At 40.0% G+C, this 16562-nt stretch overlaps 1 protein-coding gene across 3 annotated transcripts in view; it reads left to right on the top strand.

The window, feature by feature from the left end:
* The window catches only part of ELOVL2 (ELOVL fatty acid elongase 2), a 63547-nt gene extending 48850 nt beyond the window's left edge, over nucleotides 1–14697 (top strand). For all 3 annotated transcript variants that reach the window (NM_017770.4, XM_011514717.4, XM_011514716.4), the window contains exons 5-8: nucleotides 278–449; nucleotides 5014–5138; nucleotides 5619–5753; nucleotides 11550–14697. In NM_017770.4, the coding sequence (NP_060240.3) occupies nucleotides 278–449; nucleotides 5014–5138; nucleotides 5619–5753; nucleotides 11550–11675 (558 nt within the window). In that variant the 3' untranslated portion in view covers nucleotides 11676–14697. The remainder of the gene's footprint in view (nucleotides 1–277; nucleotides 450–5013; nucleotides 5139–5618; nucleotides 5754–11549) is intronic.
* Nucleotides 14698–16562: the final 1865 nt, after the last annotated feature.

The following is a 16562-nucleotide window of genomic DNA, read 5'->3' as shown; positions in this document are numbered from 1 at the left end:
GGTTCAAGCCAGGAGTCATGAACTTGGGTTCTGCGGATGCAGAGGAGGAACGTGATCACACATGTGTTCTGGAAAAATAACTCATCTCTCACTAGAGGTGGGTGGATTGCTTGAAATAAGGAGAAACTGGAGACAAGGACACCAGGTGAGCTGCCTTTTCAGCAGTGAGAAAGAAACAGCAGGAAACCACAGGCAGCAGGCAGAAGGCCGAGCAGTGGGGCAGCACCAGGAACACTGCCATTTCTCACCCTTTTCTCCCCTTTACAAATTTCTATAGGTAGCCAAGGTGCTTTGGTGGTACTATTTCTCCAAATCAGTAGAGTTCCTGGACACAATTTTCTTCGTTTTGCGGAAAAAAACGAGTCAGATTACTTTTCTTCATGTATATCATCATGCTTCTATGTTTAACATCTGGTGGTGTGTCTTGAACTGGATACCTTGTGGACAAAGTAAGTTATTTTGTTAATTTTTCCGTTTTGAGGAATGGCTCTTAGAGACCACTGGTGCTGTCTTGTATTAAGCATCGCATGCAGATCAGGAGAGCATGAAGGGAGGCCTAGAGCGCCGGCCTTGCCGCAGCAGGATGCCCGTGTCTGCCAGGGGTCATGTATTCTAGTGTCTGGTCTTTGATACAGGCAAAATCTGGGCCGAACCTTAAATTTAAAACTGTTTTCTTTTCCACACATCATATGTCCCATGGTCAGAGGCACATACCCCAGCGGGAGCTGCTTCACTCCAATCCCGGGCGCTGTTTTGACTCCTGTGGAAATACATCACCTTCCACAGTCACCACTTCCCCGTGAAACAGATCGAGGCGAGGCATTTCAGCTTTTAGGGTTTCTTGTTTTCACATTCTGAAAAATTAAGGTTACATCTCTGAAGGACCTACCAGATTTTCCATTTTTTAAAAACAGAATTACAATAAGAAATACATTTTATATCACAACCCAGTGCACTCATTCATATTTGTTCTTTTTTTTTTTTTTTGAGATGGAATTTCACTCTTGTTGCCCAGGCTGGAGTGCAGTGGCGCGATCTCAGCTCACTGCAACCTCCACCTCCTGGGTTCAAGCAATTTTCCTGCCTCAACCTCCTGAGTAGCTGGGATTACAGGCGCCCACCACCACGCCCAGCTAATTTTTTGTATTTTTAGTAGAGACAGGGTTTCACTATGTTGGCCAGGCTGGTCTTGAACTTCTGATCTCAGGCAATCCACCCGCCTCAGCCTCCTAAAGTGGTGGGATTACAGGCGTGGGCCACCGCACCCGGCCCTTCTTCTTTTTTTATTTTTTTAAGACAGGGTCTCATTCTTCTGCCCAGGCTGGAATGCAGTGGTGTAGTCATAGCTCACCGCAGCCTTAACCTCCTGGGCTCAAGCCATCTTCCTAGTTAACTGACTACCCGCATATACCACCATGCCCAGCTATTTTTTTTTTTTTTTTTGGTAGGGCTGGGCATAGTGGCTCATGCCTGTAATCCTAGCACTTTAGGAGGCCAAGGCAGGCGAAATCGCTTGAGCTCAGGAGTTAAAGACCAGCCTGGGCAACATGGCAAAATCCCATCTCTACCAAAAAAAAAAAAAAAAAAAAAAAAAAAAATTAGCTGGGCGTGGTGACGTGCACTTGTAATACCACCAGCTCCTCGGGAGGCTGAGGTGGGAGGATGGCTTGAGCCCGGGAGGCAGAGGTTGCAGTGAGCTGAGATCACGCCACTGCACTCCAGCCTGGGAGACACAGCCAGATTCTGTCTCAAAAAACAAAACAAAACAAAAAAGTGTAGACATGAGATTAATTATATTCAACCAAAGCAATATACTCTTACATGATTTCTAGGCCCCATGACCCATGTCTAGAGACATTAATTCCAACCAGTTGTTTGCTTTTAAATGAGTGATTTCATTTTGGGAAACAGGTTTCAAATGAAAATATATACATGGGTAAAATTACTCTGTGCTAGTGTTGTAGTGTTGTCTTATTAATGTTTATGGTCCCACTTGTATATGAAAATGTGGTTATGTTAATTGGATAATGTATATATAAGAAGTTAAAGTATGTAAAGCATAACTTCAGCCACATTTTAGAACACTGTTTAACATTTTTGCAAAACCTCCTTGTAGGAAAAGAGAGCTCTCTACATGAAGATGACTTGCTTTATATTTCAGATTTTATTTTAAAAGCCGTGTCTGTTAAGAAAAAACACAAAAGAACCCAATTCCTGGTTCATAATTCTGTATTCTTACTCACTTTTTCAAGTTACCTATTTTGTTGCATAAACTAATTGTTAACTATTCATGGAACAGCAAACAAATGCCTGTTTAATAAAGAATTTTGACCAAGGCTATAAATGCCATTTACATTATTTTCAGTATTGTTGGTTATATTTAAATTTTCTTCATAATAAAGCACACTTTTATTTTTTAAAAAAGTGTAGACACAAGGTCTCTCTGTGTTGCCCAGACTGGTCTTGAACTCGTGGGCTCAAGCAATCCTCCCCCCTCAGCTTCCTAAAGTGCTAGGATTAGAGGTGTGAGCTACTATGCCTGGCCCTCATTCATATTTCTCTGTTTTGTATGATATTTTATGAAACAGTATTTACCCTGGCTCTATATGATGTACTGTATATATTTTTTAATCCTGTTTTTTTTTGTTTTTTTTTGTTTTGTTTTTTTTGAGATGGAGTCCCGCCCTGTCGCCAGGCTGGAGTGCAGTGGCACAATCCCGGCTCACTGCAACCTCTGCCTCCGGGTTCAAGTGATTCTCCTGCCTCAGCCTCCCGAGTAGCTGGGATTACAGGCGTGCGCCACTACGCCCAGCTAATTTTTGTACTTTTAATAGAGACGGGGTTTCATCATGTTGGCCAGGATGGTCTTGATCTCTTGACCTTGTGATCCGCCCGCCTCGGCCTCCCAAAGTGCTGGGATTACAGGCGTGAGCCACCACGCCCGGCCTAATCCTGTTTTACAAAGAGTTGATGACAATTCTCACTGCATTGACTTCACCATTCACTAATGGGTCAGTTATGACCTACAGTTTGAGATGCACTGAGCTATAGGGAACAGTACTCTCTATTTGATACTGTCTTGTTCTCAAGAATTTAGAAATACAATATGAAAAATCAGAACATGTAAAACTTCAGTCAAAATGACTTTGTTCCAGGATTTAGGATCTTGTAGAGATGATATTAGGGAAAAAAGTGCCCAGAGATATTTGGAGTATCAGTGACTGTGAAGGTACAAATGAACACTAGAGTGAGGGAGGAAATTGCTGTGAGTGCAGGGGGAAGAAAGAAAGAATTGATCTCTGTCCTTCTAGACGGGTAGACATCCATTTCTTGAGTTTAGTTATTAAGGAAGGACAACTATAATCAATATTAGAGGAGAATTACCAAGGTTAAGTATTTTTATGATTGTCAAGTTTCATTACAAATCACTAAGCATCTAAAACCCAAATCATCACTGTGTACAGACATAGTCCTGTAAATACTGTGACAATTTCTGCTTAAGAATATTAGAAAAATGATACTTTGACCTACCAGAGCAGACTTTCAATTTTTTGAAATGCCTTAATCTGTATCACAGTGAAATGGTGACTGTGGAAGGTGCTGTATTTCCACAGGAGTCAAACATAAGCAACAACTACTCATGGTTCATTAATTGATGGAAATGAAAAGTCATGTAGGTAAAGAAATACCACTAATACTATGCTGCTTGGTAGTCTGAAACTCTGTTTGTGTTTTCATATAAATTCAAGCGCCGTAACAGTTTATTTCAGCCAGTATTGGTTGAGAATTTACTCTATGCATGCTATTGTACCTTTTGTTTCTTATTTATTAATTTGCATTTAGCTATCCAGATCACTAATCTAGGATTAAAGAACCAGGCTAGGGAATTTAAATTGATTTATTAGCCAGCATATGTGCGGTGCTTTTAAATTCATATATTATCTCAGTTAATTTCATCCCAAACTTAAGAGCTAGTTATTATTATTATACCTATTTTCCAGGTAAGAAAATAAAAATTTACGTCAAATCAATGTCTCCAAGGGGACATAGCCAATAAATGGCCCTCTAATGCCACAATCCCTCCCACCACAGGATAGCTCGCAGAACAGCCATCTGGATCCCAGGCTGACAGCTGAAGAGCATTCACTTTGTGCCAAGCATTGTTCTAAGCACTTTCATGTACTGATGAAATCCTCACAACACTGAGTTTCCTTATTTCCAACAAGTGATGCATCTGTGGCATCTCACCTCTTGCAGCTAAATCCTTTCAATGCTTAGCTGACCCAGCATGGTACATGACCCTTTCTCCATGGTTTCCTGAAGCCTTATTCACCTATGGTGGAGGCAGTTACAGAGACGTTTCATGAGGTTGATGGCAGGGGCCTGGATTTTAGACATCCCTCATCCTAAAAGTCTCTGCAATGGCCAATCACTGGGAAGGTCTCGCTGGCCAGTTTCTCCGCCACTCCAGCCTTCTCTGTCTCCTTTATTCTTTCTCCAGCACCTCCCGGTCCCTAAGTGTCTTTCAGGCAGAATTTATTTACTTAATTATGAAAGCAATATATTTTGTCTCTCTAGCACCCTGTTCAGCCATGTACAAAAGGCTCTTTGTCAATATGTCTTATCAAAGGTTTAGCTAAAAAGCAAAGACAATTCTATTTCAGAGGAATTCTGCCAACAGCTTTAAGCTAGTATTTCTTTTCCTCCCTCAGTAGCTGATAGTAGTGACGGTTAAAGAGACAGTAAAACCTCGTAGATAAGGTGTTCCCCTGTGTGGCGGGGGGGGGGCATTCTGAAAAACCATCCCAGGCTACTCCTTCTATCATGGAGTTTTTGGTGAATCCTAGAACTGGCACAGTAATTGGGGAATTTATTAGTGTGGATTTTGTTATATGATCATGTCATATGTGCTACTCATTTTCAATTACCATGCAGAGAGAGAATCTCACTTGACAAAGAAGAATGAACAGTCCTTCCTGGAAGAATAGTGATTTTTATACTGTACTTTTATAGGTTTCTTTGGACCAACACTGAACAGTTTTATCCACATTCTTATGTACTCCTACTATGGACTTTCTGTGTTTCCATCTATGCACAAGTATCTTTGGTGGAAGAAATATCTCACACAGGCTCAGCTGGTATGTTGTCCCTTCTTTTAGCTTTTCTCCATGTGGCTTATGGATGGGGAAAGGAAATAGAAATCTTAGAAGTCAGAGGGCTTTTTATGTGTGATGAGGCTGCCCATTTTTTTTCCAAAATTGGCCTTTTAAGAATTAAACTTTTTGTGTTGAAATGCCCTTTGTGCATGCTATTAGCTTATAATGGAAAGTTCCTTGCTTTGAAATGTAGATGATTACTTTTCAAATTAATGTGTAAGTTAAATCCTTTTTGTCTAAATAATTTTAACTGCGACTTTTCCATGAGGAAATCATGGGCAATTTCACATACTAATTTCAAATAAGATTTCTGGATGAGGGGGCTGCTTCAGCAGCTTTGTTTTGTTCCTACATAATTCCAAGAGTCCTAGGAGTTGATTTCTGAATTGATCAAGCTTGGCCGCAGTGTCTGTGTGGCACAGCCTGGCTCGCTCACAGAGATGCCCTCTCTGCCGTCCCCAGGTGCAGTTCGTGCTCACCATCACGCACACCATGAGCGCCGTCGTGAAACCGTGTGGCTTCCCCTTCGGTTGTCTCATCTTCCAGTCATCTTATATGCTAACGTTAGTCATCCTCTTCTTAAATTTTTACGTTCAGGTACGTGGAATGTAAATATTCAGCAGTAAAATGTAATCGATTGGCACTATTTTTTTTTTTTTGGAGACAGAGTTTCGCTCTTATTGCCCAGGCTGGAGTGCAGTGGCATGATCTCAGCTCACTGCAACCTCCGCCTTCTGGGTTCAAGTGATTCTCCTGCCTCAGCCTCTCAAGTAGTTGGGATTAGAGGCCCGGCTAATTGTTGTATTTTTAGTACAGATGGGGTTTCGCCATGTTGGCCAGGCTGGTCTTGAACTCCTGACCTCAGGTGATCTGCCTGCCTTGGCTTCCCAAAGTGCTGGGATTATAGGCGTGAGCCACTATGCCCAGCCTAGATCATGCACTTTTACATTACATATTTGTTTAATTTTACTGATTAAATATTATAGTAGCACATGCTTGTTGATAAATTCAGGTAGCAGATACACAAAGTGAAATTTGCACTCCTAACTCCTCTCTCCACACCCTCCTCCTCAAAGGGTAACCACAGTTAATAATCTAGTGGGCATTTTTAAAAACATTTTTCAATGCATACACATAAGGTTTTATCAAAAATATCATTGGATTATATATACAGTTCTCAATTTGCAGTATGTATTTGTACCATGCTACCAAAGTCTGACATCTGAAAGTTAAAAACGTGTATAGTAAGACAGATCCAGGAAATGTGAATGGAGCAAAGCAAGGGCTTCTTCAATGTTTTTAATTTATTGAATTTCATGTTTAAAAATTGGTTCCTTATCAGCTACCCTGATGTTGCAGCCTCACTGTTTGTTTGGGAACCAGGATGGAAAGGCCGCACCGACGTCTTTATCCAGTGTCATTTTCTTTTTAGTTAACAACTTAAATGGAAGACAGCTTCAAAATGCAGTTTCAAAGCCACTCTGTTGTACAAGAACGGATGAAAGCTATAACAGAGAAGAGGCCTCAGGTGGATGTAGATTTTAAATTGCTCTCTTTTGTAGGCTGGGGAAATGGAAAGCTTAGTTTAAAAAACAAAGTACATTTATATTCAAAACTATACTTTTGAAATTGTATTCAACTGTATTTTTTTCAGACTAATAAGAAGTGCTTTACTTTTTAGTTTGCACTTGCTGAAAGTTAACCCATAGTGGTTTTTATTTTTATTTATTTTTTTGAAACAGAGTTTTGCTCTTATTGCCCAGGCTGGAGTGCAATGGCGCAGTCTCGGCTCAACACAACCTCTGCTTCCTGGGTTCAAGTGATTCTCCTGCCTCAGCCTCCCAAGTAGCTGGGATTACAGGCGTGTGCCACCACGCCTGGCTAATCTTGTATTTTTAGTAGAGATGGGGTTTCTCCATGTTGTTCAGGCTGGTCTTGAACTCCTGACCTCAGGTGATCCGCCCACCTTGGCCTCCCAGAGTGCTGGGATTACAGGTGTGAACCACCACACACATCCCCATAGTGGTTTTATACAGTGTGGAACAGTGGAAACTGAATTTTGACAGCTTTTCAGGTCTTGTATTTCTGAAATTGGACTAGGCTGTTTTAAGAGATAAAGGTTTCCTTTGAAGATTTCCAAAGAAATAATCAATGATGAGACCAAACAAAGCTATGTGTGGGTGTGCAAACCCCTGCCCCCAACTTCCCAATAAACGCTAAGTGTTAAAGGGAAGCTAAGGGAGTGATTTTGGTACCTCGTGTTGAAGAGAAGCGTATAGCCCAGCAAGAGTAGGTAATGGCATTCAAAGCCTTAGCCCTACATGCTGGTTCAAACTGCATCTTAGTTCTGAAGTCAAGCATATAATTTAAGTTTGGATCCTTGTTAATACTATTGCTTTAAAAAAAAAAAAAGTGAAAATGAGATGCGAGATCAGGTATTTTGTCAGAATAGGAAGGATATGCCAAAAACTAGATCAAGCCAGAATCCCAGGTATTGGTATTTTAAAATAACAGCACTTTTTCCACTTGAATTATTTTTAAAAGTTTTATCTTTCCAAGTGAGCAACTAATGCAGAATACTTTGCCAGCCCCACAATATACAAATCGTGACCTCTAATAGTCATTGAAATACATGCATTTGTTTTGGTCTTTATTTTTAATCTTTAACCAGAAGTTTAAAAATGATACTATAAACATGAAATCTAGGCAGAAATAAAGAAAGATGTTCTTTGAAACCAATAAGAACAAAGATACAACATACCAGAATCTTTGGGACACATTCAAAGCAGTGTGTAGAGGGAAATTTATAGTACTAAATGCCCACAAGAGAAAGCAGGAAAGATCCAAAATTGACACCCTAACATCACAATGAAAAGAACTAGAAGAGCAAGAGCAAACACATTCAAAAGCTAGCAGAAGGCAAGAAATAACTAAAATCAGAGCAGAACTGAAGGAAATAGAGACACAAAAAACCCTTCAAAAAATCAATGAATCCAGGAGCTGGTTTTTTGAAAGGATCAACAAAATTGATAGACTGCTAGCAAGACTAATAAAGAAGAAAAGAGAGAAGAATCAAATAGATGCAATAAAAAATGATAAAGGGATATCACCACCGATCCCACAGAAATACAAACTACCATCAGAGAATACTACAAACACCTCTATGCAAATAAACTGGAAAATCTAGAAGAAATGGATGAATTCCTCGACACATACACCCTCCCAAGACTAAACCAGGAAGAAGCTGAATCTCTGAATAGACCAGTAACAGGCTCTGAAATTGTGGAAATAATCAATAGCTTACCAACCAAAAAGAGTCCAGGACCAGATGGATTCACAGCCGAATTCTACCAGAGGTACAAGGAGGAACTGGTACCATTCCTTCTGAAACCATTCCAATCAACAGAAAAAGAGGGAATCCTCCCTAACTCATTTTATGAGGCCAGCATCATCATGATACCAAAGCCAGGCAGAGACACAACCAAAAAAGAGAATTTTAGACCAATATCCTTGATGAACATTGATGCAAAAATCCTCAATAAAATACTGGCAAACCGAATCCAGCAGCACATCAAAAAGCTTATCCACCATGACCAAGTGGGCTTCATCCCTGGGATGCAAGGCTGGTTCAATATATGCAAATCAATAAATGTAATCCAGCATATAAACAGAACCAAAGACAAAAACCACATGATTATCTCAATAGATGCAGAAAAGGCCTTTGACAAAATTCAACAACCCTTCATGCTAAAAACTCTCAGTAAATTAGGTATTGATGGGACGTATCTCAAAATAATAAGAGCTGTCTATGACAAACCCACAGCCAATATCATACTGAATGGGCAAAAACTGGAAGCATTCCCTTTGAAAACTGGCACAAGACAGGGATGCCCTCTCTCACCACTCTTATTCAACACAGTGTTGGAAGTTCTGGCCAGGGCAATTAGGCAGGAGAAGGAAATAAAGGGTATTCAATTAGGAAAAGAGGAAGTCAAACTGTCCCTGTTTGCAGGTGACATGATTGTATATCTAGAAAACCCCATGTCTCAGCCCAAAATCTCCTTAAGCTGATAAGCAACTTCAGCAAAGTCTCAGGATACAAAATCAATGTACAAAAAATCACAAGCATTCTTATACACCAATAACAGACAAACAGAGAGCCAAATCATGAGTGAACTCCCATTCACAATTGCTTCAAAGAGAATAAGATACCTAGGAATCCAACTTACAAGGGATGTGAAGGACCTCTTCAAGGAGAACTACAAAACACTGCTCAATGAAATAAAAAAGGATACAAACAAATGGAAGAACATTCCATGCTCATGGGTAGGAAGAATCAATATCGTGAAAATGGCCATACTGCCCAAGGTAATTTATAGATTCAATGCCATCCCCATCAAGCTACCAATGACTTTCTTCACAGAATTGGAAAAAACTACTTTAAAGTTCATATGGCACCAAAAAAGAGCCTGCATCGCCAAGTCAATCCTAAGCCAAAAGAACAAAGTTGGAGGCATCACGCTACCTGACTTCAAACTATACTACAAGGCTACAGTAACCAAAACAGCATGGTACTGTTACCAAAACAGAGATATAGATCAATGGAACAGAACAGAGCCCTCAGAAATAATGCTGCGTATCTACAACTATCTGATCTTTGACAAACCTGAGAAAAACAAGCAATGGGGAAAGGATTCCCTATTTAATAAATGGTGCTGGGAAAACTGGCTAGCCATATGTAGAAAGCTGAAACTGGATCCTTCCTTACACCTTATACAAAAATTACTTCAAGATGGATTAAAGACTTAAACGTTAGACCTAAAACCATAAAAACCTAGGCATTACCATTCAGGACATAGGCATGGGCAAGGACTTCATGTCCAAAACACCAAAAGCAATGGCAACAAAAGCCAAAATTGACAAATGGGATCTAATTAAACTAAAGAACTTCTGCACAGCAAAAGAAACGACCATCAGAGTGAACAGGCAACCTACAGAATGGGAGAAAATTTTCACAACCTACTCATCTGACAAAGGGCTAATATCCAGAATCTACAATGAACTCAAACAAATTTACAAGAAAAAAACAACCCCATCAAAAAGTGGGCGAAAGACATGAACAGACACTTCTCAAAAGAAGACATTTATGCAGCCAAAAAAACACATGAAAAAATGCTCACCATCACTGGCCATCAGAGAAATACAAATCCAAACCACAATGAGATAACATCTCACACCAGTTAGAATGGCAGTCATTAAAAAGTCAGGAAACAACAGGTGCTGGAGAGGATGTGGAGAAATAGGAACACTTTTACACTGTTGGTGTTTACACTGTAAACTAGTTCAACCCTTGTGGAAGTCAGTGTGGCGATTCCTCAGGGATCTAGAACTAGAAATACCATTTGACCCAGCCATCCCATCACTGGGTATATACCCAAAGGACTATAAATCATGCTGCTATAAAGACACATGCACACGTATGTTTACTGCAGCACTATTCACAATAGCAAAGACTTGGAACCAACCCAAATGTCCAACAATGATAGACTGGATTAAGAAAATATGGCACATATACACCATGGAATACTATGCAGCCATAAAAAATGATGAGTTCATGTCCTTTGTAGGGACATGGATGAAATTGGAAATCATCATTCTCAGTAAACTATCGCAAGAACAAAAAACCAAACACCGCATGTTCTCACTCATAGGTGGGAATTGAACAATGAGAACACATGGACACAGGAAGGGGAACATCACATTCTGGGGACTGTTGTGGGGTGGGGGGAGGGGGGAGGGATAGCTTTAGGAGATATACCTAATGCTAAATGACGAGTTAATGGGTGCAGCACACCAGCATGGCACATGTATACATATGTAACTAACCTGCACATTGTGCACATGTTCCCTAAAACTTAAAGTATAATAATAATAAAAAATATAATATATAAACATGAAATCTTATTAGAAAATCCAGTGCCCAACTGGGCACAGTGGCTCACGCCTGTAATCTTAGTACTTTGGGAGGCCGAGGCGGGTGGATCATCTGAGGTCAGGAGTTCAAGACAAGCCTGGGCAACATGGTGAAACCCCATCTCTACTAAAAATACATAAATTAGCCGGGCATGGTGGTGTGCACCTGTAGTCCCAGCTACTTGGGAGGCTGAGGCAGGAGAATCACTTGAACCCGGGAGGCGGAGGTCGCAGTGAACGGGGATCGTGCCATTGCACTCCAGCCTGGGTGACAGATTGAAACTCTGCCTCAAAAAGACAAAAACAGAAAATCCTGCGCCCAACAAAATCACATACTGTTTTAACTATATGCACTGTTAAAGACAAGGTCTTATTAAATAACCTTTTTATTTTTCTCTTCAAAATATACACATCCAACAGACATACCGAAAAAAGCCAATGAAGAAAGATATGCAAGAGCCACCTGCAGGGAAAGAAGTGAAGAATGGTTTTTCCAAAGCCTACTTCACTGCAGCAAATGGAGTGATGAACAAGAAAGCACAATAAAAATGAGTAACAGAAAAAGCACATATACTAGCCTAACAGATTGGCTTGTTTTAAAGCAAAGACTGAATTGAAGGTTACATGTTTTAGGATAAACTAATTTCTTTTGAGTTCATAAATCATTTGTACCCAGAATGTATTAATATATTGCTATTAGGTTAATCTGTTAACTGAATGCTTTGATCAGCATTGAGGTGATGCTCACCTCCGAGGACCTCAGAACTGGTGCAGCTTCTCTCTCCCTCCCTCCCACAGACTGAACCTTTCGCCAGAAGCTGTCCTTATAACGCCTTATACGCATACACAGCCAGGAAACGTGGAGCATTGTTTCTCACAGAGAGTCTCCAAATAAAAAGGGTTTTGTTCAGATTAAAATGTTTACAACAAAATGTTAATTATATTCTAAATACAGGGTATGTTCTAATCTATATTAAGCAATAATGCCAGTGCATAATCATTCCATTTGTTCCTTTAGCAATCAACCCCAGAAAATATTAAAATGGGATCATACACAGAAGATAGAAAAATCTAGCAAAACTTCTCTTTCTGTAAGCCAGAGTCTTGTCTATCAGATTCCCACAACCACTCCTGATTCTAAATTTAGTGATATGGTAATGAAATTGGTATTTATTTTAAATATTAGTTATTCTAAGGAGAAAAAAATGCTTCTGCAAGATTTTCATAATTCAGGGGCTGTGGATAGGATTGTTCCTCTGTTTCCCTAATCATTCATCTGTTCATGTCTCCCTCTTGTGCCAGTCAGCCTAGGTTATACAGATGCCATGCTCCACACCACGAGCAGTGTACAAATCTGGCTGCCCGTTTACTTTCTGAGCAAGCACTGGAGTCCACTCCGACCTTTTTCTTTGAACATGCATGCTGCTGGAATATGTATAAATCAGAACTAGCAGAAGTAGCAGAGTGATGGGAGCAAAATAGGCACTGAATTCGTCAACTCTTTTTTGTGAGCCTACTTGTGAATATTACCTCAGATACCTGTTGTCACTCTTCACAGGTTATTTAAGTTTTTGAAGCTGGGAGGAAAAAGATGGAGTAGCTTGGAAAGATTCCAGCACTGAGCCGTGGGCCGGTCATGAGCCACGATAAAAAATGCCAGTTTGGCAAACTCAGCACTCCTGTTCCCTGCTCAGGTATATGCGATCTCTACCGAGAAGCAAGCACAAAAGTAGACAAAAGTATTAATGAGTATTTCCTTTCTCCATAAGTGCAGGACTGTTACTCACTACTAAACTCTACCAAGAATGGAAACAAAGAATATTTTCTGAAGATTTTTTTGAAGATTAATTTATACCCTATAAAATAAAACTTGTTAGCTTCGATGAAGTCACTTCATCTTCTCTCCTGCCTTATTTTTTTAAATAAGTTTTTAGGTCCTGACACTGACATCAAATACATGCACACCAGAAAGGCATTTCCACCACCGTCCCCACTCATTAGCGTCCAGAGTGCCTTTCTCTCTCGGCTTTTTTTCCCCCCTGAGCTCTAGTTTTAAACTTTCTCCTGTTAAAAAAATTGTACTTTTATTTCATGTAAACTGCCCCTCTGAGGATTTGGGCATATTTTTTGGAAGGTGCCTAATGCTTAGGATAGTCTCTAGGGTGATGCACTGCACCTGCTTCCTTCCCTTCAGTGCGGCCGACCCATTTCTGTTGAACAGATGTCTCCTGTGTGATGCCCCTGACTCTTACATTTATCTTTCTAAATCATTTTCTGAAGCTGACTTGCTCTAGGGTGCTTCATCACCACTTCCATCTTGCATCACCTTATAACTGTTCTGTCTTGTTCTCTCCCAGCAATTTATTTTAAAACAAGGGCTAGCTTCAAGCATGACTGTTAATGGCTCCTCTGTGACAAAACACAAGTTGGACCAAGGAGAAAGCCCTTTGGAGAAACTGGACCCTAGTTCAGTTTAGATCTCAAATATAGGCTGAAATCTCTTACCAAAGTGCGTTCCAGATAAAAATGAGACTTAGAAGACAGACTGGTCTAATATGCTCACTGGTCATCACATTCAGCTTATTCTTACGTGCCAGTGAGGCCCTAAGGTCTCAGTGCATAGCATACCTGCCACTCTGGATGTTTTCCTGGGCTTCATATCTGTATGGCAAGGAGGGAGCTGTCCTTCAGCAGACAAAGTCAAGCAGCTTTAAGTACAAGGCAGCTTGAAACCTCTCTGATGAAAGTGAAAAATGTGGGTAGCTTATACTTTCAAACTAATGCCAGTGACTAGAGAGAGGTTTCATTCATGATGTGTATTTCCAATTTGGTCTTCAATTCAAGAGATGCTTCATAAAACACTTATAGCCTTAAACCATTCAAGGGCTAATTAAAAAAATAGTTATGAAATCTTAGCCACAAAAAATAAATCAGGTAAACATTTTAACCTGTCGTTAAGTGTTGTAACTTCAAAAAACCAAAATGCTTATTTTAATGTGATTTTTCTAAAACTATTGAAAAATTAATATTTCTATAATCTATTAAAAAAAATGGAGAATGTTTTCTCTCAAATTTCCTCTGACCCATGGGAATGAAAATACTTAAATACTGTAAAGCATATCTATTAATAATTCCCCCAATTTTTTAAACTAACAAAATGGAATGTTAACTGAATGGAATTAAACATAGCAATTGTCAAGCCATCAAAATTATATATCGAACCACTTAGGCATGTTACGGGGTAAAGTCCTCACCCCTGCATTTGAGAAATATTTTATTATTTTTATTTTAAGGCAAAACAGTGTTTACTGTGATGGGCAGAACAGCCTTTTGTATCTAGGAGTCCATTTGAGTTCTTTCCAATATTTCCATATCGTTCATAAATGTGTCTGGGGGCTTCCTTGTTTGGAAAATATGGATATCGCTTTGTTTTCCTTTGAAAGTAATTATATCTTAAGAACATAGTATCATGAATGGAGTAGACAGGGAGGCTGCAGAAGCCATTTCTCTTTGTAGATAAAAAGCATTATCTATGATTGTTGTATAATAAATTGATTTTTACATTAAATGCATGTTGCGAGTTTTATTTGGTTCAAAGCAGTTAAAATGTATGCCTGCATGGAATTCCAAATGACCTATCACTTGGGAGTTATTTTTACAATAAGGCATTATTTTAGCCATGAATTTTAGACATTTAATTCTTCTCTTGTTTCAGTGAGCAATGGATTATATCATTACCTTTACATTGTATTCATATACCAAGTTAAGCTGTTTCAAAAATGGCCATTCACTAGAAAAACGTAAGATTAGCAGAGGATATAAAGACGATAATTAATAAATTGCTATATAAAGCCACCTAGGGAGGAGCACTAGATTTGTTTGAGGAGAAATTTTTAGGCAGGAACGACATCGTGCAATGCCCTGAAACCCAGGATACAATTCACAGAGCACCTGCATGGGGAGAGAGGTGGTCAGCTCAGCTCGGGAGGAGATGTAGGTGAGTGAGGCCTGACTGTGAGGATGCCTGGGAGAGTTGAGGCGAGGGGCAGGACCACAGGTTGGCGTTTTGTCAGTGTAGAGAGTCGAGTTTTGAATGTGATATTAAGTATAATGAGACACAGATCCTAAAGAAAACTACAAAAGATGTGCTCAAAGTCTGATTAAAAAATTGCTTAAATTCCTGGATAGTGACAGGTGGGACAGGATAGATTTTAAGGAAGGGCAGGAGGAGAAGAGGGAATAGGAGAAGACCTTATTTTAGCTATCTGAATGGGGGCTAGAGTTTGGGGTGGGAGGTTAACGTTTTAGAGGAGCCTTCCCTTTGTTATTTTAAATGGTGGGTGGAACTTAATAAAACTTTGTGTTTAAAAATAAAAGATAAATCCTATGTCTCTATGGCAAGCCTAATAACTGTTGTCACAAACTTAAAGAGCTGCTTATTCAACAAGCGTTCACATCAATAAGCCTCTTAATTCCTTTATGCAAAGAAAAAATTCAGCATGTGTTTTTGTTACAGCAGGCTCTCTTCCAAGAAAAATTACATTCCCATATTTAAGGAAGAGTTTCTCTCCAGAGTATGCAAGGAAATAATCACTCCTAGGAGACTAACTACAGTCACCTCAGGATTCCCTGACCTTCAGTAAAACATGACTTTCAGTCATAGGGGGAAAAAGACTGAAAGCTATTGATTTGTAGGTCATTTTTCCATCTTCAATTGCACTGCAGAACACTGGAATAACACTGAGAGGACAAGGAAATCTGTAATCCGTACCCTCATTGAGCAATTGGTAAATGCGGTCATTGTGGATCTAACGAGCAACCCACCGGGAGCCTGTTCTGAAAGTGTCTGTGACCACATTTGGTAGGCTGAGGAAGGCGAAGCTTGTCACACATCCCTTGATGTTGCATGTGCCATGGTCTATAGCTACCTGGATGACTTGAGATGGGCATTTTCTCTTGTAGTTGCCACAATCACCATCACTCATCCTTTTTCTTTTTCTTTTTTTTGAGACAAGAGTCTCACTTTGTTGCCCAGGCTGGAATGCAATGGTGTGATCTCAGCTCACTGCAACCTCTGCCTCAGCCTCCCAAGTAGCTGGGATTACAGGCATGTGCCACCACTCCCGGCTAATTTTTTTTTTTTTTTTTCAATAAAGACAGGGTTTTGCCATGTTGGCCAGGCTGGTCTCGAACTCCTGACCTCAGGTGATCTGCCCACCTCAGCCTCCCAAAGTGCTAGGATTACAGGTGTGAGCCACGGCACCCGGCCCATTCATCCTTTTTATTCAGCCTATTAACCTGGCTGGCCCCTGAAGGCATTTGAATTTGTGATGCCTATACATTGAACAACAAAAGGAGAAAGTCTATATAGAGTTTCGCCTGGGCCCATATGATATACTTACAGGGAGATGAACACAGACTTACCGGCAGTGG

This window comes from Homo sapiens, chromosome 6 (genome assembly GCF_000001405.40).
Source record: "Homo sapiens chromosome 6, GRCh38.p14 Primary Assembly".
NCBI lineage: Eukaryota > Metazoa > Chordata > Mammalia > Primates > Hominidae > Homo > Homo sapiens.
The sequence above is the reverse complement of the archived record's forward strand: the minus strand, read 5'-3'. Positions and strand labels throughout refer to the sequence as shown.